The 22,805-nt window shown below is 54.7% G+C and overlaps 1 protein-coding gene across 35 annotated transcripts in view, besides 2 other annotated features; it reads left to right on the top strand.

Moving 5' to 3' along the window:
- PTPRS (protein tyrosine phosphatase receptor type S) overlaps nucleotides 1-22,805 on the top strand; it is a 135,305-nt gene that overhangs the window by 97,333 nt on the left and 15,167 nt on the right. For 13 of the 35 annotated variants that reach the window (NM_001394012.1, XM_047439155.1, XM_017027066.2 and 10 more), the window contains 9 exons: nucleotides 3,148-3,281; nucleotides 4,417-4,561; nucleotides 11,865-12,170; nucleotides 13,796-13,989; nucleotides 14,138-14,164; nucleotides 17,636-17,753; nucleotides 20,183-20,791; nucleotides 21,260-21,357; nucleotides 22,227-22,480. In NM_001394012.1, coding sequence (NP_001380941.1) covers nucleotides 3,148-3,281; nucleotides 4,417-4,561; nucleotides 11,865-12,170; nucleotides 13,796-13,989; nucleotides 14,138-14,164; nucleotides 17,636-17,753; nucleotides 20,183-20,791; nucleotides 21,260-21,357; nucleotides 22,227-22,480 — 1,885 coding nt within the window. Of the gene's footprint in view, nucleotides 1-3,147; nucleotides 3,282-4,416; nucleotides 4,562-11,864; nucleotides 12,171-13,795; nucleotides 13,990-14,137; nucleotides 14,165-17,635; nucleotides 17,754-20,182; nucleotides 20,792-21,259; nucleotides 21,358-22,226; nucleotides 22,481-22,805 lie in introns of those variants that run through there. The other 22 variants (NM_001394013.1, XM_047439161.1, NM_130854.3 and 19 more) reach the window with 4 other exon arrangements.
- Nucleotides 16,930-17,548: an enhancer, noted in NCBI's record as "H3K4me1 hESC enhancer chr19:5225943-5226561 (GRCh37/hg19 assembly coordinates)". NCBI's record gives its function as "activates a minimal SCP1, AML or CMV promoter by ChIP-STARR-seq in naive H9 embryonic stem cells {active_cell/tissue: H9 hESC(naive)}" and the evidence as "EXISTENCE:reporter gene assay evidence [ECO:0000049][PMID:30033119]".
- Nucleotides 17,549-18,168: an enhancer, noted in NCBI's record as "H3K4me1 hESC enhancer chr19:5225323-5225942 (GRCh37/hg19 assembly coordinates)". NCBI's record gives its function as "activates a minimal SCP1, AML or CMV promoter by ChIP-STARR-seq in naive H9 embryonic stem cells {active_cell/tissue: H9 hESC(naive)}" and the evidence as "EXISTENCE:reporter gene assay evidence [ECO:0000049][PMID:30033119]".

Here is a 22,805-nt window from a genome sequence, read left to right as displayed (position 1 = left end):
TATATGTATATATTTTCATGCTAGCATTTAAAATCGGGGAGCTAGGCCGGAGGCGGTGGCTCACACCTGTAACCCCAGCATTTTGGGAGTCGGAGGCGAGTGGATTACCTGAGGTCAGGAGTTTGAGACCAGCCTGGCCAACACCGTGAAACCCCATTTCTGTTAATAATACAAAAGAAAAATAGCCGGCCGTGGTGGCGGGTGCCTGTAATCCCAGCTACTCTGGAGGCTGAGGCAGGAGAATCACTTGAACCTGGGCAGAGTTTGCAATGAGCCAAGATCGCACCATTGCATCCAGCCTGGGCGACAAGTGAAACGCCATCTCAAAAAAATTAAATTAAAAAAAAAAAAAAAGAGAGCTAGCCAGGCTTGGTGGCATGTGCCTGTAGTCCCAGCTACTCAAGAGGCAGACGCAGGAGGATGGCTTAAGCCCAGGAGTTTCAGTCCAGCCTGGACAATATAGCAATACCCCATTTCTTAAGAAACATATATAGGACCCAGTGTAGTGGCTCATGTCTGTAATCTCAGCACTTTGGGAGGCCAAGATAGGAGGATTTATTGAGGCCAGCCTGGACAATGTAGCTAGACCCCATCTCTACACACACAAAAAATTAAAAATTAGCTAGGCGTGATGGTGCACACCTGTAGTCCCAGCTACTCAAGGCTGAGATGAGAGGATCACTGGAGCCCAGGAGTTCAAAGCTGCAGTGAGCTATGATAGCACCACTACACTCCAGCCTGGGCAACAAAGCAAGACCTTGTCTCTAAAACAAAAACAAACATTAAAATAAAATCGGAGAGGGCTGGGTGTGGTGGCTTATGCCTGTGATCCCAGCACTTCAGGAGGCTGAGGCGGGTGGATCACCTGAGGTCAGGAGTTTGAGAACAGCCTGGCCAACATGACAAAACCTCATCTCTACTAAAAAAAAAAAAAAAATACAAAAATTAGCCAGTCGTGGTGGCACACGCCTGTAGTTCCAGCTACTCAGGAGGCTGAGGCAGGAGAATCACTTGAACTCGGGAGGCGGTGAGCCAAAATGTCACCACTGCCCTCCAGCCTGGGCAACAGAGCGAGACCCTGCTCAAAAAAAATAAAATTGGACAGTTATCCTAGCCAAATTTTTGGCTTCCCTTTAAAAAATCTGATTTGACAAGCCCATAGGGCTAAGATCAAACACCCGGGTAGATCCCAGTGGCTGTGTGGGAGACAAGGGGGGCTGTGTGTGCTTCCTTCCCTCTTCTCTGTTAACTCCTCACCCCTGTTGGCATTTGAGTTTTAAGAACCTCCCTCATCTGTTCTCATTAGAGGGACCAGCGCCACTGCTTCTGAAATAATGAAAACTGCTGGCTCAGCGTGGTGGCCCACGCCTGTAATCCCAGCACGTTGGGAGGCTGAGGCAGGTGGATCACGAGGTCAGGAGTTCAAGACCAGCCTGGCCAATAATGGTGAAACCCCATCTCTACCAAAAATACAAAATTAGCCGGGCATGATAGCGTGTGTCTGTAATCCCAGCTACTCAAGAGGCTGAGGCAGGTGAATCACTTGGACCCAGGAAGCGGAGGTTGTGGTGAGCTGAGATCGTGCCACTGCACTCCAGTCTGGGCAACAAGAGCGAAACTCTGTCTCAAAAATAAAAGAAAACTGCCTCACCCCTAAGGCAGTGGGCCAGTCTCCCTCCCTGCTCAGGTGGCAGGACTTGGAAGAGGCATTTAGGCATGGGGGACCCCAGCTCTCTGGGAGTGTTTGACCCTTTCCTTTGGGGCTCAGGCTTTCAAAACCTAAAGTCTGGGCAGACTCAGGCACCCACTGAAGCAAAGGGCCGGGACGGTTGGCACTCTGTCCATGTCTGTGAGCGGATACAGAATGGAGATCCAAATGTTAAAATAGGCACCCTTTGCCAGGCACTGTGGCTCACACCTGTAATCCTGACACTTTGGGAGGCTGAGGCAGGAGGTTTGCCTGAAGCCAGGAGTTCAAGACCAGCCTGGGCAACATAGCAAGACCTCATGTGTACAAAAAATTTTAAAATTAGCTGAGTGTGGTGGTGTGTGCCTGTGGTCCCAGCTACTTAGGAGGGTGAGGCGAGAGGATCACCTGAGCCCAGAAGTTGGAGGCTGTAGTGAGCTATGATCGTGCCACTACACTCCAGCCTAGGTGACACAGTGAGACCCCGTTTCAAAAACTAAAATAAAATGAAATAAAATAGGCACACATATCTCCCTGCTAATTTCTCTGTCATCTAATTCGCAGCCAGCGAGGGCACTGGGGTGATTTGAAAGGGAGATTTTTAGGCCAGGTGTGGTGGTTCGCGCCTGTAATTCCAGCACTTTGGGAGGCCGAGGCAGGAGGATCAGTTGAGGTCAGGAGTTTGAGACCAGCCTGGCCAATTGGTGAAATCCCGTCTCTACTAAAAATACAAAAGTTAGCCGGGCGTGGTGGCGGGTGCCTGTAATCCCAGCTACTTGGGAGGCTAAGGCAGGTGAATCACTTGAACCCTGGAGGCGGAGGTTGCAGTGAGCCGAGATCGTGCCATTGCACTCCAGCCTGGGTGACAGAGTGAGACTCCATCTCAAAAAAAAAAAAAAAAAATGAAGGGGATTTTTATTTTTTTTATTTTTATTTATTTATTTATTTATTTTTGAGACAGAGTCTCACTCTGTTGCCCAGGCTGGAGTGCAGTGGCGCGATCTCCGCTGACTGCAAGCTCCGCCTCCCGGGTTCGCACCATTCTCCTGCCTCAGCCTCCCGAGTAGCTGGGACTACAGGTGCCCGCCACCGCGCCCGGCTAATTTTTTGTATTTTTAGTAGAGACGAGGTTTCACCATGTTAGCCAGGATGGTCTCGATCTCCTGATCTCGTGATCTGCCCGCCTCGGCCTCCTAAAGTGCTGGGATTACAGGCGTGAGCCACCGTGCCCGGCCGAAAGGGGGATTTTTAAATGGGTTCTTTTCCTTTGGAAGAAGAGAGGATGGAGGAACAGAGGTGGACAGGTGACAATGGGATGGGGGCGAGGTCCCCAGGAAAATAAAAGAACATTCTAGAAGCACCCAGAGCTGGCATCTTTTAGTGGGGACACTCAGCAGGTGGGGCCCCCTTTGTGGGGTGGACGCTCCCCGACTCCTAGTTGTCTCCCTGCACCCCCACAGTGCCGGGCCAGCCCATGAACCTGCGGGCCGAGGCCAGGTCGGAGACCAGCATCACGCTGTCCTGGAGCCCCCCGCGGCAGGAGAGTATCATCAAGTACGAGCTCCTCTTCCGGGAAGGCGACCATGGCCGGGAGGTGAGGCAGCGCGGGGACGGGCTGGCCTGCCCTGGGCTCCTCCCCGGCGCTCTCTGACGCTGCCCGCCTTGTCTCTTCCCCCTCTTTGTCCCTATGTGTGCTGCGGATTCTGCTCTTCCTCACCCCTTCTGCTTCTCCTGCGTCTCTGTCCCTTTGTGCCTTTCCTCCACTTTTTTCTCCTCTGTCTCATCTCCTTTGTCTTTCTCCTCTGCTGCTGGCGGCCTCTCTCTGGTTCCGTATGTATCGGCGTCCCCATCTCTCTTGATCTGTGCTTCTCTCTGTGTCTTGTCTTCACCGGTGCCTCTGACGCTCACTCTCCATCCCTCCGGGTCTGTTTCTGTCTGTTTATGTCTCTGTCTCTGTTTCTCTTTCTGTCTCTGTTTTCTGTGTGTTTTTTTTCTGTCTCCATCTGTCTCTGTGTTTCTATCCCTCTGCCTCTCTTTCTGTCTCTCTGTCTCTGTCTCTGTATCTGTTTCTTTCTCCTCTCTCTCTATTTCTGTCTCTATCTCTATTTCTGTCTCTCTCTCCTCTCTTTCTCTGTCCCTGTCTCAATCTCTCTCTCCTCCGTTTCTGTCTGTCTCTCTCCCCTGTTTCTCTGTGTTTCTGTCTCTGTCTCTATTTCTCTGTCTCTGTGTGTCTATCTCTGTATCTGTCTCCTTCTCAATTTCTCTATTCCTCTGTCTCTGTATCTCTCTCCTGTTTCTGTCTGTCTCTGTATCTCTCTCTGTCTCTGTCTCTCCCATTTATCTCTGTCTCTGTGTCTGTCTCTCTCCTTTGTTTCTCTGTCTCTATCTCTGTCACTGTGTCCCTCTGTCTCTATCTCTGTCTCTGTGTCCCTCTGTCTCTGACTCTCTCCCCTGTTTCTCTCTGTCTCTGTCTCTCTCCGTCTCTGTCTCTCTCCGTACCCTCTTTTTCTGTCTGTATCTCTGTCTCTACCTCTCTCTCCCCTCTACCTCTCTCCCTCATCCCTCTCTGTCCCTCTCTGCCGCACCCCTGTCTCTATTTCTCTGTCTCTCTCTCTCTCTCTCTCTCTCCCCCTCCCCCCTCTGTTTCTGTCTCTCTCTCTCTCCCCTTTGTTTCTGTCTCTCTCTCTCTCTCCCCCATCCCTCTCTGTCCTTCTCTGCCCTGCCCCCAGGTGGGAAGGACCTTCGACCCGACGACTTCCTACGTGGTGGAGGACCTGAAGCCCAACACGGAGTACGCCTTCCGCCTGGCGGCCCGCTCGCCGCAGGGCCTGGGCGCCTTCACCCCCGTGGTGCGGCAGCGCACGCTGCAGTCCAGTAGGTGTCTCGCGGGGCCGCCCTTCTCTGCGGGAGGGACCACGGCCTGACCGCAGACAGCCCCTCGGCAGACGGACCCAGGCGGGGCCTGCTGCAGTGGGTGGGGGGCGCCTCCCGGCCTGTCTCCGCTTTGTTCCCCGACCTCGGATCCATCTACCCGCGCTGTGCCTCAGTATCCCCATCAGCACAGCGAGGGTCTCAGCATGGGGTTGTCTGTGCCCCTGGGCCTGGTGACCCGGGTTGAGACTTGGGGTCAAGGAGAAGTGGCTGATCTTGGCCCTGGTGTAGGAGAGGTTCTGGGACCACGCCTTCTTTCTCCTCTTTCCATCCTGGAGTGGGGGCTGATTGAAGGGCCACGTTGTGCCCATTTCCCAGGCATTTTGAGGGTACCGTGAGGCTGTGGTCACGGCTCGCACCCCATCATTCTCAGAGCAAAGGACACAGAGACGAACCCACCTTCCCCGTCGGTCTTCCTCCCCCGGGCAGGGAGCCTTGGCTCTCAAGACCCCAGGACGAGGTCCCAGTTCCCGAGGGTGGGGAGGGGGTGGAATCGGAGCCGAGGCCAGGTTTCGTGGGGGCATGCAGGTCCCCACTCGGGGCTCAAATCTCTGGAGTTCTCTGCTGTGCCGGCCCGGCCTCCCTGTTTGGAGCGAGTCACCCTTCACCTGGCAGTTGGCTGTGGGTCACCGCCACCCTCTCTCCCTGACTTCTCTAAACTCGGAGCTGGACAGGCCCCTTCTGCCGTCTCCCCACCTCACCTGCCTCCCTGGCTCCGCTCAGCCCAGCGTGGCCTTCCCTGGTGTGGCCTCCACCGGCGTGGTCTCTCTGTCGTGGCCTCCCCCTGCTTCCCCCTCTTCCCTCCCTTCACCCAGTCAGTCACGGCGTAGCCACCCCAGGCTTTCTTCCAGAATCAGTCATGATGGTCAAACCTTCAAGGCCCGCCCTGGGTGTGTGTACACAGGGGCATCTCGGATCAGTCGAAGGGTTAACATCAACTCCAGCCGGGGCATCTGAGCCGCTGGGATCGGGGGGGTGGGGCGCCTCGGAGACACAACCCCCCTGCCCCCGCCGGCCCCCTTCCCTCCTTCCTGCTCCCCACAAACCAAGCCGAGCTGAGCACCTGGCGGCTCCAAGGCGTCTGGGCGCGTCTGTGTGAGGTGGAGTCAGTGAGGGTGGCCTGTGGCTTGGGCAGCCACCTGAGAGACTGGCTGAGGTGTCCTGAAGGTGAGTACACGCTGGTCTCAAGCAGGTTCACAAAAACGGCCCACCCCGCGTGCCCCCCCGCCTGCCCCAGCCACTCTGGGCTGAACGGACAGTCCACGGCCCGAATTCGGCCCCAGAAACTCTCCCAAACCACGTGCCACCACCATGCCACGCTGCCCACGCACGCACATCCACGTCTTTGCACACATCCCTTCCCGAGATGTCATGCAGGTTGGGCCGGATTGTGAAGGACGTGACCTACACGGTCACCTAGAAAGCGGCTTCGGCCCAGCCACGCGAACCTCCGGGGCGGCCCAGGACAGGGAGTTGGGGAGAAGGGACTCCCCGCTTCTTGCCCCGAGACGGGTGGGGCCCAGGAGAACCGACAGCAAAGACTCAGGGCCAGGCGTATCCATCCCCCCGGGGACTGCGGGCTCCTTAGGCTGAACACAGGGTAGGTGCAGGTCAGACCACTCAGCCGTGGGTCTCCCCAGACACCGTGCCACCTTCCTGCCTCCAGCCTGGAACCTCAGCGTGCGCACGCTGGGGGCTGGAGCAGGGCTGCGGGGCCACTGGCATCCTGAGACCCACCAAGAGTTCGGTCTGGCCTTGTAGCTCAGCGCTCGGCCGTTCCCTCTCTCGTAAGAAAGTCTTTTAAGTTAGCAGTTGAAGAGTGGAAGGTAGGTAACCAGACTGGGCGTTTTCTGGAAGGAGTCTTTCTTTCTTTTATTAAGTTTTTCTCATCATCATCACCATCACTGTTGTTTCTTATTTTATTATGGTTTCGGTTTTATTTTTTCTCCCCCTTTCTCAGCAAATCCATTCCTTCCGACACATTCCTTGATTGTTGTTTTTTTTTTTTTTTTCCCCCTGCTCCCTGCCTGATTCCCCGCACCCCCCGGGCACCTTTGGTTGGTGTGGCTGGTCAAGAAATGGGGAAGGGTTCCCTTTGTCTAGTTTTGGAGGAGGGGCCTCTAATGTTTTGCTTTAAGTGAGGCCGGAGGGTCTCTCTAGTTGAAGTAAGCTGTTGGGGTGGCCTCTGCAGTCTCTGGTAGCCCAGTGTCTCTGAGGACAGGATTCGTCTCTGGGTTTCAGATGCTAGCAGGATAGTGTCCATAGTAAGTACTCAGTAAACATGTGCTCAGCCACCAAGCAAGCTGCTCTGATGGTGAGGGTTTCTAATGCTCTTGCCACGAGCAAGGCCAGTAATCTCTCTGGGCCTCCCTCCAGGGGACGTAGATTCTAAAATCGTGGGCACTTGGGAGAGTGGCTTCCGCCATACCCAACCAGCACAAGGCTGAGATCTGAGCTGCCAACCTCAAACCAAGCCAGCCTGTGAATCACGGCCAAGTCTGGGTTCCAATCCTGGCTCTGCCACCTCATCACTGCATGCCCCTGGACAGGTAGCTTGCTGTTTCTGAGCCTCAGTTTCCTCACCTGTAAAATGGGCTCACCTGTAAAATGGGCTGCACTTCTGGTTTTTCGGCAAGATTGAGAGGTGTTATACAAAATAATGAAAAGCTTCCAGGGTGGGGTCTGGCCACAGTCGGTACACAACCAGTGACTGTAGAAAGCCCAGCAGGCAGACTTTGGAATCTGGTTTCCCCACCGTTGACGCGGGGTGGCGGGTGGGGAGTGACAGTTCTGACCACCTGAGGGGTTGTGAGAATTAAATGAGATAATGCATGCATTAAATGAGATGATACATGCGTTAAATGAGATAATACATGAAACATGGGCTGAGGGTGCTGCACCTGCAGTAGGCGTGCAGAAAATGAAGTTTATTATCACTAATGCCCTCAGCACAGCGTCTGGCCATAGTAGGCACGCAACACATAGAGACTTACTGATTCATAAGCCTTTAACACACAGACAGTTCCCTTTAATATGCGGGAACTCTCAGTGTTATTCAGCAAAGACCTTAACATACTGCCTGGCACACAGTAGGTGCCCCATTAATACAGCCACTGTTTTAAATCTACATATGGATTGGCACAGTGCTGGGCACCTAGTTGGCACTCAGTAAATGGAAGCTATTAGCAGTTTATAACAAGCTTAGCCTAGTGCCAGGCGCACAGTAGGTACTCAAAACATGGGTGGCAACAATTATTGTTCTGCAAACCTCTTGGCACAATGGCTGACATACAGTAAGTGCTCAATAAGTGGCACTTGCTATAAAGAGGTGGCCTAAGTGTGAGGCACGTAGTAGATGCTCAGATGGGCACCATTATCAGTTTGAAAGGGTGTGGGATAGGGCTGGTTACACAGTTTTTACTGAAAACATTCACTTATTATCTGCAAAGCCCTTGGCACAGTGTGTGCAAATAGTAGGTGCTCAATAAGAACTATTACTATTTTTATATAAGGTATTGAGTGCAATGCCTGGCACACGGTGCCAGGTGCTGTTACAGTTATCCAATAAAGCCCTTAGCACGATGCTTGGCACACAGTAGGTGCTTAAGAAATGAAAACTATTGGCCGGGCGCGGCGGCTCATGCCTGTAATCCCAGCACTTTGGGAGGCCGAGGTGGGCGGATCACGAGGTCAGGAGATCGAGACCATCCTGGCCAACATGGTGAAAATCCGTCTCCCCTAAAAATACAAAAAATTAGCCGAGCGTGGTGGCGGGCGCCTGTAGTCCCAGCTACTCGGGAGGCTGAGACAGGAGAATGGCGTGAACCCGAGCAGCAGAGCTTGCAGTGAGCCGAGATCGCGCCACTGCACTCCAGCCTGGGCGACAGAGCAAGACTGTCTCAAAAAAAAAAAAAAAAAGAAAGAAAGAAATGAAAACTATTAACATTCCGTAAGGCCCTTAGTAGAGTTGCCTGACACATAGTAGGTGCTTCATATGTGGAAACTTACTGTTTTTCAGTAAGCCCCAGCACAGCACCTGGCACACAATAGGTGCTTAATATGTGGTGACTACTATCGTTTTCTGATGAAGCCTTTAACACAGTGCCTGGCACACAGTAGGGGCCTAATACATGGGGACTATTAACTTTTCTGATACAGCCCTTAGCACAGTGCCTGGCACGCAGTAGGGGTTTAATATGCAGGGACTACTACTGTTTTCTGAGAGAGCCTTTGGCACAGTGCCTGGCACATAGTAGGTGCTGCTTAAATGACAACTGCTGTTTTTCTCTTCAGAGACCTGTTACCGTACCCAGTCCATAGTAGATGTTCAATAAATGAGACTTGCTGTTGATAGGTTAGTAGTAGATGTAGTGTGGTGCCAGGTGCATAGTTGGGACTGAACACAGAAGTGCTGTGATCTTTAAAGATTTTGGCACACAGTAGGTGCTCAATATGAGCTATGAAGTCCTGAGCCTGGTACCTGACACCAGTAGGTGTCCAATAAACAGGCACTTTTATTATTACTTGATAAAGCCCTTGACATTCTATCTGGCACACAGTAGGTGCTCAAGACATGGGCATTATTTTCAAGTGAGGCCAATTGGATGGTCCTAGTTGAAGTAAGCTTTTGGGATGGGCTTTGGGTCCCTGGTAGCACAAGTGTTCAGTAAATAAATGCTTTTACTACAAGAAAAATTTTACCATATTTTCCGTAAATTATTATGAAGCCCTTGGCACCATGCCTGACCTACAGTAGGTGGCCAGTAAATAAGTGCATTTGCTGTTATTGTATGAAGCCCTTGGCATGACACCTGGCACATGGTAGGTAGCTAATAATTGGGGCTTCTATTGCTGTTGCCTGGCACATAGTGTGTGACATATAGATTTTTTTTTTTTTTTTTTTTTTTTTTTTTTTGGAGATGGAGTCTTGCCCTGTTGCCCAGGCTGGAGTACAGTGGCACGATCTTGGCTCACTGCAACTTCCGCCTCCCAGGTTCAAGTGATTCTCCTGCCTCAGCCTCCCGAGTAGCTGGGATTACAGGCTCCCGCCACCATGCCCGGCTAGTTTTTTGTATCTTGTAGTAGAGACGGAGTTTCACCATGTTGGCTAGGCTGGTCTCTCTAACTCCTGACCTCGTGATCCACCCACCTCGGCCTCCCAAAGTGCTGGGATTACAGGAGTGAGCCACTGCGCCCGGCCGAGATTCTTATGCTATTATTCTATGAAGCCCTTGGCACAATGCTTGACACACAGTAGGTACCTGATAAGTGGAGCTTCTATTGCTGTTCCCCTTAGCATGATGCGTGGCACATACTAGATATTCAGTAAATAGATGCTCTATTATTTTGTGAAGCCCTTGGTGCTGGCACATAGTAGGTGCCTAATGGAGCTTCTGTTGCCATTCCCCTTGGCACAGTGCCTGGCACATAGTAGGTAGTTAATAAATGGAGCTTCTGTTGCTGTTCCCTTTGGCATGGTACCTGGCACGTAGTAGGTGCTTAATGGAGCTTCTATTGCCATTCCCCTTGGCATGGTACCTGGCACATAGTAGGTGTTCAATAAATAGATGCTTTTACTATTATTTCGTGAAGTGCTTGGCGCTGGCACATAGTAGGTGTCTAATAGAGCTCTGTTGCTGTTCCCCTTGCCACGGTGCCTGGCACATAGGTGTTCGACATAGATTATTTTGTTACCATTCTATGAAGCCTTAGCACAATGCTTGACACGTAGTAGGTGCCTGATAATTGGAGCTTCTGTTGCCATTCCCCTTGGCATGGTTCCTGGCACATACTAGGTACCCAATAATTGGAGCTTTTGTTGCTGCTTCCCTTGGCGTGGTGCCTGGCATATAGTAGGTGCTTAATAAATGGAGCTTCTGTTGCCGCTCCCCTTGGCATGGCGCCAGGCACATACTAGGTGTTCAATAAATGGATGCTTTTACTGTTATTTTGTGAAGCCCTTGGCGCTGGCACATCGTAGGTGCTTAATAGAGCTCTGTTGCTGTTCCCCTTGCCACGGTGCCTGGCACATAGTAAGTGTTTGACATATAGATTATTTTGCTATCATTCTATGGAGTCCTCAGCACAATGCCTTACCACAATTATTAGTAGGTGCCTAATAATTGGAGCTTCTATGGCTATTCCCCTTGGCATGGTGCCTGGCACACAGTAGGTGCCTAATGGGGCTTCTGTTGCCATTCCCCTTGGCATGATGCCTGGCACATAGTAGGTGCTTAATGAATGGAGCTTCTGTTGCCATTCCCCTTGGTATGGTGGCACATAGTAGGTGCCTAATAAATGGAGCTTCTGTTGCTGTTCCCCTTGGCACGGTACCTGGCGCATAATAAGTGCTTAATAAATGGAGCTTCTATTGCTGTTCCCCTTGGCATGGTGCCTGGTACATAGTAGGTGTTGAGTAAATAGATGCTTTACTATTTGTGAAGCCCTTGTTGCTGGCACATAGGAGGTGCCTAATAAACAGAGCTTCTGCTGCCATTCCCCTTGGTATGGTGCCTGGCACATAATAGGTGCCTAATAAATGGAGCTTCTGTTGCTGTTTCCCTTGGCACAGTACCTGGCACATAATAAGCCTTTAATAAATGGAGCTTCTATTGCTGTTCCCCTTGGCATGGTGCCTGGCACATAGTAGGTGTTCAGTAAATAGATATTTTACTATTATTTTGTGAAGCCCTTGGTGCTGGCACATAGTAGGTACCTAATAAGTGGAGCTTCTGTTGCCGTTCCCTTTGGCATGGTGCCTGGCACATAGTAGATGTTCAACAAATAGATGCTTTTACTATTTTGTGAAGCCCTTGGTGCTGGCACATAGTAGGTGCCTAATAAATGGAGCTCCTGTTGCTATTCCCCTTGGCACGATGCCAAGCACATAGTAGGTGCCTAGTAAGAAGGGCTTCCCTTGCTATTCCCCCACCCAGTTTCTGGCATGGGGACCATAGCTGTCCAATGCCTAAGACCTACTGTGCACCACGTAGGTGCAGCCTGGTGAGCACAGGGTTCTTGGCCAGCCCTCCCAGCCCCATCCCACCTGCCCGCCCATCCACCCGCCCATCCCACCTTTGGTTGACACCCACTTCTTTTGGGTTCGACTTCTCTTTGGTTTGGTTCTGTTTTGTTTGTTATCATCTTCTTTTTTATTTTCTCTTTCCCATCTTTTGTTTCCCCGCCCCCCTCCCCACCCATCCCACCTCCCTTCCCCACCCCCCCACGTTCTCCCCCCCTCCAATAGAACCGTCAGCCCCCCCTCAAGACGTTAAATGTGTCAGCGTGCGCTCCACGGCCATTTTGGTAAGTTGGCGCCCGCCGCCGCCGGAAACGCACAACGGGGCCCTGGTGGGCTACAGCGTCCGCTACCGACCGCTGGGCTCAGAGGACCCGGAACCCAAGGAGGTGAACGGCATCCCCCCGACCACCACTCAGATCCTGCTGGAGGCCTTGGAGAAGTGGACCCAGTACCGCATCACGACTGTCGCTCACACAGAGGTGGGACCAGGGCCCGAGAGCTCGCCCGTGGTCGTCCGCACCGACGAGGATGGTAAGTACCTGCCCCAGGCCCGGGACCCCCCGCAGGCCCCAGCCCGGCCCCCGCCTCGAAGCCTTCCATCTGGAAACCTGGGCTGGTGGTCAAAGGGCGGAAGCCTCACTCGGAGGAAGTCGGGAAGCAAGCAGCCTCCCCGAGAAATCCGGGGCTCCTTGACTTTGGAATTGGCGATTCTAGACATGGGCAGGCTTAGCTCTGCAGCATCTGCTCCCAGAGCCTCGTGCCTGGACAGTTTCGCTGGCTGCCCTCTATTTTGGTGGAACAGTGGAAACCTTTGGAAATGGGGTGGAGGAAGTGGCAAATAGCACCTGCAACAACAATGTGCTGATCATGGTTAACCAGCTCCCCGGGTGGATGGAGACCAGTTTGTGTAGCATTGGCCAATTTCCATGGTGTAAATGTTCCCGTCCTCACCCATTTCAAGTTAGCAGCAAGTTTGAAGCTGGAAAGCAAGGCAGTGGTCCTAGCTTGGAGTCACGTGGTCGAAGCCTAGATCATGGAGAGAAATGACAGACACCTTTCCCAATAAAATTGCAACTTCTTGGCCAAGCACAGTGGCTCATGCCTGTAATCCCAGCACTCTGAGAGGCCAAGGCAGGAGGATCATATGAGTCTCGGAGTTTGAGACCAGCCTAGGCAACATAGTGAGACCCCATTCCTCCAAAAACATTTTTAAAACATAGCCAAGCATGGTGGCATGCACATGTAGTCTCAGCTACTCAAGACGCTGAGGTGCGGGGATTGCTGGGCATAGCAGTTTGAGGCTGCAATGAGCTGTGATCATACCCCTGCACTCCAGCCTGGGTGACAGAGTGAGACCCCATCTCTACAAAAACGTATTAGCTGAGCATGGTGGCACAGGCCTGTAGTTGCAGCTACTTGGGAGGCTGAGGTGGGAGGATCGCTTAAGCCCAGGAGTTCAAAGCTGCAGTGAGCCGTGATCCTGCCACTGCATGCCAGCCTAGGTGACAGAGTAAGAGAACCTGTCTCAAAAATATTTCAGCCTCTTGGTCCTGGGAACCTGATTCGTTTTCTGAGCCATTTGCCTTTGTTTCGTTGGACAGCCCCATTATGTCCTAAGCCCAGAGAAGAAATGAAGCAGCTCTTCTTTATGCCAAACCCTGGGGTGGGTGAAAAAGATCCTGAGTGCCAAGTGGGCCACCTGCCTGCTTGGGTATTTAGGAACATACAGCTGGACTGCCTGGTGCAAATCCTGGCTTTGCCTCTTGCTAAGGCTGTGATCACAGAATCAACTCTCTAGGATTCAATTTCCCCAAATGTAAAATGAGAATGACAGGAGACCCTATCTTGCAGGGTTATGATGAGGATGGAAGCAGTGTAGGGTGAAGAAGAGGGTGTCTGGAGGCCCTGGGAAGGTGGTTTAGACTCGGGGGGGGGCAGCCTGGATCCATGGGGCGCACCTTCAGGGGCCCCTCCCAGGGCTGTGGGGGGTGTGCAGGAGGCCATGTCCTCCCGCCCGGTGGTGAGCGCTAAGAGCGCCCAGTTATTCACCGGCAGCCACTCGGCATCCTGGAATCGGACAGTGGCACTGCCCGGGGCAGGGCCGGGCGCCCTGGTAACGGCTCCGCCCGCCCCTCCCCTCCCCTCCCGCCCGCCAGTGCCCAGCGCGCCGCCGCGGAAGGTGGAGGCGGAGGCGCTCAACGCCACGGCCATCCGCGTGCTGTGGCGCTCGCCCGCGCCCGGCCGGCAGCACGGCCAGATCCGCGGCTACCAGGTCCACTACGTGCGCATGGAGGGCGCCGAGGCCCGCGGGCCGCCGCGCATCAAGGACGTCATGCTGGCCGATGCCCAGGTGGGCGGGGGGCCGGGGCGGGGCCGGGGACGGGCTCCGGGCGGGGACGGGCCCTTGCGCTCCCCCCACCTCTGCTTCTCTTTCTCCATCTCTGGCCTCCCCCGCTCACCTTCCTCCTCTCTCCCCTGCCGCCTCCTCCCGCGCTCAGTGGGAGACGGATGACACGGCCGAATATGTAAGTAGCGCCCCTGGCCACCCACCTACTGCTGTGCGCTTCCCGCGGGCCGTGCTGTGCTGTGACTCCTGCACGCCCCTTATCATCAGTAGTAAAACGGTCTCCTCCTCTGGGCCCTCCCATGCGCCCCTCGCTCTCCCATTACCTCTTGGAGCGCCCAGCCTCGATGTTTGCACCAGGGAAATGGGATACTCGGACCACTGTGCGCCCCAGGGGGCAGACCCGAGGGTGGCTTGAGCAACAGGACCTGAGGGTCGTCCCTGAATCCTCTCACCCTGATGGCTCCTGCCATTGGTGGGGCTTAAGCCTCCTGGGTCCTTCTCCTGCCCGTAGTCATTTCTCCTGTGAGTATGTCTCCTCTCCTGTTGACCCAGCCCCACCCTTTACTGTCACTCAATTCAGCCCTGTCTGGCCTAGAAATGCCTCTCTCTGGATATGCTGTCGTCTTCATTCTGGCCCCCGGGTGATGAGAGGTGTCAGCGGGGCCAGAGTGGGGAAGGATGTCTGTGATAGCCTGGTTACAACCCCACAATGCTTTAAACCAGAGAGGAATTGCTGTGTGACTTGGGGCAAGTTGCTACCTCTCTCTGGACTACCTCTCTGCCCCTAAAACGGGAGTACCAGTCTCTGCTGAGAACCCCAGGTCTGACATTAAATTGGCACTGGTCCCTTGGCTGGGCGTGGTGGCTCATGCCTGTAGTCCCAGCACTTTGGGAGGTTGAGGCAGGTGGCTCACCTGAGGTCAGGAGTTCAAGACCAGCCTGGCCAACAGGGCAAAACCCCTTCTCTACTAATAATACGAAACAGCCTGGTGTGGTGGCAGGCACCTGTAATTCCAGCTACTCGGGAGGCTGAGGCAGGAGAATCGTTTGAACCTGGGAGGCAGAGGTTGCAGTGAGCCAAAATGGCACCACTGCGGTCCAGCCTGGTCAGCAGAGGGAGACCCTGTCTCTTTTTTTTTTTTTTTTCTCCAGACGGAGTCTCACACTATCGCCCGGGCTGGAGTACAGTGGCGCCATCTCGGCTCACTGCAACCTCCACCTCCTGGGTTCAAACAATTCTCCTGTCTCAGCCTCCCGAGTGGCTGGGATTACAGGCATGAGCCACTGGTCCTGGCTGATCCTGTCTCTAATAAACAAACAAACAGGCACTGGTCCCACATGCTCTGATGCCTCCCATCTCTCACCCACACTGGATCTAGAGGGAATGTTCCCACCTGGGCTTCAACTCTGCTCTTCTCGCAGAGACCCTGGGAGGGATGGACTGTGAGGCTCAGGGGTAGGAGACCCTGTTTGTGCATCCCCGTCACCCCTCCTTATCCCCTTGGCCTGGGTCTACCCCACAGTTCCCAGGCATGCCGGCCTGTGCTTGGGGGGGTGCGTGTGTGCTTGCAGACATGGGCACACATGATGCTGTGATCGTGTGCACAGGTGTTGTGCAAGTCCGCGTGCCCGGGAGTGTTCTGTGCTGTCATTCATTGGACGAGCACTCACTTATTGAGCACCTACTATGTGCTAGATGCTGAGGATGTGGTGGTGACAAGAGCCCCTCCTCCCTAACAGTCATACTCAGTGAGAGGGATGTTAATCGGAACAAAACACACATCGGCAGGGCATGGTGGCTCACGCCTGTAATCCCAGCACTTTGGGAGGCCAAGACGGGTGGATCAGCTGAAGTCAGGAGTTCGAGACCAACCTGACCAACATGGTGAAACCCTGTCTCTACTAAAAATACAAAACCAGGCGTGGTGGCGCATGCCTGTAATCCTAGCTACTCGGGAGGCTGAGGCAGGAGAATTGCTTGAACTAGGGAGGCAGAGGTTGCAGTGAGCTGAGACCATGCCATTGCACTCCAGCCTGGGCAACAAGAGCGAAACTCTATGTCCAAAAAAAAAAAAAAAAATTGTTACAGCTGTGGTGGGGATGGGGTTTAGACAGTGAAATAAACATTTAAAAATCAGCTCTCAGCCAGGCACAGTGGCTCACGCCTGTAATCCCAGCACTTTGGGAGGCAGAGGCAGGCGGATCACTTGAGCCCAAAGTTTAAGACCAGCCTGGGCAACATGGCAAGATCCCATCTCTACAAAAAATATAAACATCATTAGCCAGGCATGTGGTGGTGCACGTCTGTATTCCCAGCTACTTGGGAGGCTAAGGCGGGAGGATCACTTGAGCTCAGGAGGTCAAGGCTGCAGTGAGCTATGATTACACCCTGCACTCCAGCCTGGGCGACAGGGTGAGACCCTGTCTCAATAAGATAAAAGAGTAAAAATCAGCTCTCTGGGTGGGCAGGAGGGGGCAGTCCTGTTTTGTAGCATTGGACCGTTTCCATGGTGTAAATACTTCCCACCATGTCAATTTCAAGCTACCGGGGAGGTGCCCAGTAGCCCATAATCATGTATTCCTACTCTACAGATGCAATAGACAAGATGATCTCAAAGCAGTAACCATACAGATACCCACAGAGAACAGTAACCCTAGTGAAATAACTAGATTTGCTGTATTTATTGCCTTTGCTTTCAATATAACTTAGTTGATTGTAAGTTTATACAGTTTATTTATTTATTTTTGAGACAGTCTTGCTCTGTCACCCAGGCTGGAGTACAGTGCCACGATGTTGGCTCACTGCAACCTCCGCCTCCTGGGTTCAAGTGATCCTCCTGCCTCAGCCACCCCAGTAGCTGGGACTACAGGCATGTGCCACCACGCCTGGCTTTTTTGCTTTTTTTTTTTTTTTTTGGTATTTTTAGTAGAGACGAAGTTTCACCATGTTGGCCAGGCTGGTCTGGAACTCCTGACCTTAAGTGATCCTCCTGCCTTGGCCTCCCAAAGTGCTGGGATTACAGGCGTCAGCCACTGCGCCCAGCCTCGTACAGTTTAATTTTTAATAACAGCTCTGTTTCATAAGTGGCTCACAAAATTCCTGAAAATTTAACCAGCGGCTCTCATGAGTTGGTACCGGGCACCTCCAGCACACCAGTGGGTGTAGACAGGGGGGAAGGCCAGTGCCAAAGGGCCTGAGGCAGGCTGTGCCTGGTGCATTGGAGGAACAGCAAGGAGAGCCCTTTGTGAGCCACAGGGAAGACTTGGGCTTTGACCCCAAGAGAGGTGGGAGCCATGGAGGGCTGTGGGGAGAGCGGGGACGGACCCTGACTCCAGTGCTCACAGGCGCCCTCTGGCTGCTGTGGGGAGGACAGACTGTCGGGGGTGATGGCAAGGAGTGAGGGGAGCGGAGCAGAGAGGACCGAGTTGGTCCTGGCAAGCGACAATGGGCTCGTCCGGCTGGGTTGTTGCATGTACCCTCTGAGCATGGCCATGCCACGTGTCGTGGTCTCTGCATGAGCTCATGTGCACGTCTCCACCCCTGATCCGGGCCCTGCATCCTCCTTGCTTGTTCTCAGCACGGGGAGTGGGGGTGGGTGGGGCTGCTCCCAGCCCCAGCCGTCGTGCTGACCCCCAGCCGTGCCTGCAGGAGATGGTCATCACAAACTTGCAGCCTGAGACCGCGTACTCCATCACGGTAGCCGCCTACACCATGAAGGGCGATGGCGCTCGCAGCAAACCCAAGGTGGTTGTGACCAAGGGAGCAGGTATGCAACCCGCCCTCCTCCCACCCACCAACAGCCCCTTTGCCCCCACTGGCACCAGAGCGTGACTCCAGAGTCCTTGAGCTCACAAGGGCAGGCAGAGGGTGCACCAGGCAGCTGGAACAGTGAGACAAAGGTGTGAGGGCTGCTCAGGTGGGTGTCCAGGGCCCAGCTTGGCCCCCCCCGCCCCTGCCTCCTCCTTTGTCACTCACTTCCTGTCCCCCCGGCTCCCACCAGACAGAAACAGTTAACAGCCACCTCTGACCCCTTTGCCCTCTCAACCTTTACTTGGGCTGTTCCCTCTGCCAGGATACCCCTTCCCCTGCTGGCTGGCTCCTCTTCTGCCTTTAGGTCTCAGCTCAAGGTACACCTGGCCCTGGAAAGCCTTCCCTGATTGCCTCATCCCATAATCTTGATCCTTCTGGGCCCCCTAGTCTCCTGTGCTTCCCCCATCCAGGCTCTGGTCGCCCCGGCTAGGTTGTTATTTCAGGGTGGTGCACCTGTCTTCCCCTACTGCACCAGGAAGCCACCTTTCTCTTGGTGGCCCTGCCTCAGTTTCCCCTTCTAGCCCCTCCATTGTCCCTTCCATCGTCCCCAAGGGGCTGGCTTTTTTTTCCAGCCAAAATGGAGCTGAATTAAGAAAAAGAGGCTGCCGTGAAGATGTAAGGGGAGGGTACACCGGGCGGAGGGCACAGCCCAGAAAAAGACTTGGGGGGTGGGGCGTGGTGGTGGTGGTGGTGGGCGGAACAAGCTCGGGTGTTTCAGGAACAATCGACTGACTTCTGTGGCCTTCATCCCAGTCCCCACACCCACCCTCTCCTCGGGGACCCTTGTAGCCACACCACTGTGTACCCCACCTTTCAGGCCTCCCAGCTGGACACAGCCCCTGCCCTTGTCCACACTATTCCCTTCACGCACCTTGTCTGCGTCCTCCAGCATCCAGCTCTAACGCCACCTCCTCCAAGCAGCCTCCTGTGATCTCTCCCTCCCTTCTTCTAGCCAGCAGGGCACTTCCCTCCTCTCTCAGGGACATTGTATTAGAGCTGTGTTTGCTAAGCAGAAACCACTGCATACGCTGCTCTCCCCACCACCCTGGGTATTCATAGCAGTCCATTCAAGGCCCTGATAAGTCCTGCAGTAGAGAAGTCCATTTTCATGTATACAGCCCAGCTTTCCCCCTTCTTTGCCTGATCCCAGAACCTCTCTCGGCACATTGATTACTACCCAGGCTGTGCGAAACAAAGAGCAGGGGCGGATTTTGGATTTCTTTATGTCCCATGGGTATTGGTCAGGTGCCTGCATTGAGCAAGGGCCAAATCAACAAGGCAGGAGATGGTTGCCTTATTAATGGAAGGAGGAGGGGTTCTCTGAGTCCTCACTTCCTTGCTGTGCTTTATGCGCCCCTAGCCCAGTGCCGGCTCTACACCTTTGCATGGGCCGTTCCCTCTTCCTGGAGCACGATTCCCCCAGATCTTCTCGTGGTTCCCTCTCTTTCTTCTTTCAAGTCTTTGCTTCTTAAGTGAGGCTTTCTTGAGACCTACTTTTATTTTTAAGACGGAGTCTTGCTCTGTTGCCCGGGCTGGAGTGCAGTGGCACGATCTTGGCTCCCTGCAACCTCTGCCTCCTGGGTTCAAGTGATTTTCCTGCCACAGCCTCCTGAGTAGCTGGGATTACAGGCGTGCACCACCACCCCCGGCTCATTTTTGTATTTTTAGTAGAGACAGGGTTTCACCATGTTGGCCAGGCTGGTCTCGAACTCCTGACCTGAAATGATCTGCCCATCTCAGCCTCCCAAAGTGCTGGGATTACTTACAGATGTGAGCCACCACACCCAGCCTTGAGATCCACTTTTAAAAATCACAACCCCAGGCTGGGCACGGTGGCTCACACCTGTAATCCCAGCACTTTGGGAGGCTGAGGCGGGTGGATCACCTGAGGTCAGGAGTTCAAGACCAGCCTGGCCAATATGGCGAAACCCCATCTCTACTAAAAATACAAAATTACCCAGGCGTGGTGGTGTGTACCTGTAATCCCAGCTGCTCGGGAGGCTGAGGCAGGAGAATCCCTTGAACCCGGGAGGCAGAGCTTGTAGTGAGCCGAGATGGGGCTACTGCACTTCAGCCTGGGCAACAGAGCAAGATTCTGTCTCAAAAAAAAAAAAAAAAAAAATCACAACCGCAGCTGGGTGCAGTGGCCTTATAATCCTAGCACTTTGGGAGGCCGAGGCAGGAAGCTCACTTGAGCCCAGGAGTTCGAGGCTGCAGTGAGCCGTGATCTCACCATTGCACTCCAGGCTGGGCAACAGAGTAAGACCCCCCCCAACTCAAAAAAATGTTATATTGAAGGAAAAGAATTAAAAATACAACCCCACCTTGTGCCTCTGGGCTGGCGGATGGCGCTGGGACCCTGACACCTGCCCCGTATCCCCGCAGTGCTGGGCCGCCCAACCCTGTCGGTGCAGCAGACCCCCGAGGGCAGCCTGCTGGCACGCTGGGAGCCCCCGGCTGGCACCGCGGAGGACCAGGTGCTGGGCTACCGCCTGCAGTTTGGCCGTGAGGACTCGACGCCCCTGGCCACCCTGGAGTTCCCGCCCTCCGAGGACCGCTACACGGCATCAGGCGTGCACAAGGGGGCCACGTATGTGTTCCGGCTTGCGGCCCGGAGCCGCGGCGGCCTGGGCGAGGAGGCAGCCGAGGTCCTGAGCATCCCGGAGGACACGCCCCGTGGCCACCCGCAGATTCTGGAGGCGGCCGGCAACGCCTCGGCCGGGACCGTCCTTCTCCGCTGGCTGCCACCCGTGCCCGCCGAGCGCAACGGGGCCATCGTCAAATACACGGTGGCCGTGCGGGAGGCCGGTGCCCTGGGCCCTGCCCGAGAGACTGAGCTGCCGGCAGCGGCTGAGCCGGGCGCGGAGAACGCGCTCACGCTGCAGGGCCTGAAGCCCGACACGGCCTATGACCTCCAAGTGCGAGCCCACACGCGCCGGGGCCCTGGCCCCTTCAGCCCCCCCGTCCGCTACCGGACGTTCCTGCGGGACCAAGGTAGGCGCGCGGCGACCCCTGCACCAGAGCCGGACCGGGCCTTGCGCCCACCCCCACCCCAGCCCCCTCCCTCTCCCCTGCCCAGGTAAGTGCTCACTTTTCTGCTTCCTCGTGGTCACTCAAGGCAAGTCCGGACCCCGAGGCTCCGGCGTTGGCAAAGGTGGGACGTGCCTCGGTGGCACCACCGCCCCCCACCACTGCCCCCTCCCCTTGCTCCCCTCCCCCCTCTTCCTCCTCCTCCACCTTCTTTCTGCAGCCTCTGCACCCGTGCCGTCTCCCGAAGCAGGGACTTGGGACAGGACAGGGCAGGGCCGGGCCAGGGCCAGGCAGGAAGGCCGTGGGCATGGGCACAGCGGACGACAGGGAGCGCCTGGGCCGCCCCACCCCACCCCGCTTCACGCCACCCAGTGCCAGGCACTCATGGGGCCTCTCTTCTGCTCTCTCCCTGCTCGGCCGCCTCCCCGGCAGTCTCGCCCAAGAACTTCAAGGTGAAAATGATCATGAAGACATCAGTTCTGCTCAGCTGGGAGTTCCCTGACAACTACAACTCACCCACACCCTACAAGGTGCGACTGCCCAGCCAGCAGGCAGGCAGGCAGGCAGGGTCAGGGGTTGTAGTTCAGCAGGGCTTAAGGCTCAGTTTGGAGTTGGTGTGAAGTGAGGGATCAGGGCTCAGTCAGAGATGGGTCTCAGCTAGGATTGAGGCTTAGTCAATACTGGGAATCAGACTTGGGGCCCAGCCTAGGATTGGAGATCAGCTGGAACTGAGGTTCAGTCAATATTGGGGATCAATGTTGGGCTCAGCCTTGGATTGTGGCTTAGCTGGGATTGAGGTTCAGTCTGGGATTAAGATTTAGTCCATATTGGAAATCAGAGTTGGGGCTCAGCCTTAGATCATGGCTTAGCTGGGACTGAGGCATAATCAGGATTGGGACTCAGAGTTGGTACTTAGCCTGAGGTCAGAGTTTAGTCTGGAGTTGGTGCCAAGTCTGGGATCGGGGGTCAGCCTGGGATTGAGGTTCAGTCTGAGATCAGGAATCAGTCTAGGATCAGGTCTCAGAGGTGGGTTTCCACCTAGGGTCAGCGCTCAGCTGGAATTCAGGATCAGTCTGGGTTCAGGGTTCAGTGGGATTGGGGCTCAGTCGGGACTGGGAATTCAGCATGGGATCAGGGCTCAGTCAAAGTGGGCTTCTACCTAGGATCAGGACTCAGCTGGAATTTAGGCACAGTCTGGGGTCAGGGTTCAGTGAGGTTGGGGCTCAGTCAGAGTTGGGGACTCAGCCTGGGATCAGGGATCAGTCAGTGTTAGATTTCTGCCTAGGGCAGGATTCAGTGGGATCAGGGCTCAGTCAGGGTGGGGGACTCATCCTGGAGCTGGGGCTCAGTCCATGGGCATGAGCCCACCAGGCCCTGCTGAGCTAGCCCTGGTCCGCAGATCCAGTACAATGGGCTCACACTGGATGTGGATGGCCGTACCACCAAGAAGCTCATCACGCACCTCAAGCCCCACACCTTCTACAACTTTGTGCTGACCAATCGCGGCAGCAGCCTGGGCGGCCTCCAGCAGACGGTCACCGCCTGGACTGCCTTCAACCTGCTCAACGGCAAGCCCAGCGTCGCCCCCAAGCCTGATGCTGACGGCTTCATCATGGTGTATCTTCCTGACGGCCAGAGCCCCGTGCCTGTCCAGTATGCTCACCCCCATGCTCCGGGTTCCTTGTCACCCCCATCAGCCTACTATATGGCTGGGGCAAGCCACGTGCCCTCTCTGTGCCTCAATTTCCTTGCCTATGAAACACAGACCCTATCAGCCCTAGTTCATGGGGTCATCCAAGATTCAATGCTTCTCATGGGTCATTGTCACTAAATGTGTCCTGTGTCTGCTCTTCTAGCATTTCCTGATACCCCATATGCCTGACCCTCCACTGGGTATTACTAGGGCCCCTGAAAGGATTTGGTTCTGGGCTTCCCAACTAGTGGGGAGGCAAAGCTGAGAGTCCCCAGTGGGGAGAGG

Source organism: Homo sapiens, chromosome 19 (assembly GCF_000001405.40).
Source record: "Homo sapiens chromosome 19, GRCh38.p14 Primary Assembly".
NCBI classification, from domain to species: Eukaryota; Metazoa; Chordata; class Mammalia; order Primates; family Hominidae; genus Homo; species Homo sapiens.
This window is presented reverse-complemented; position numbering and strand designations above follow the sequence as displayed.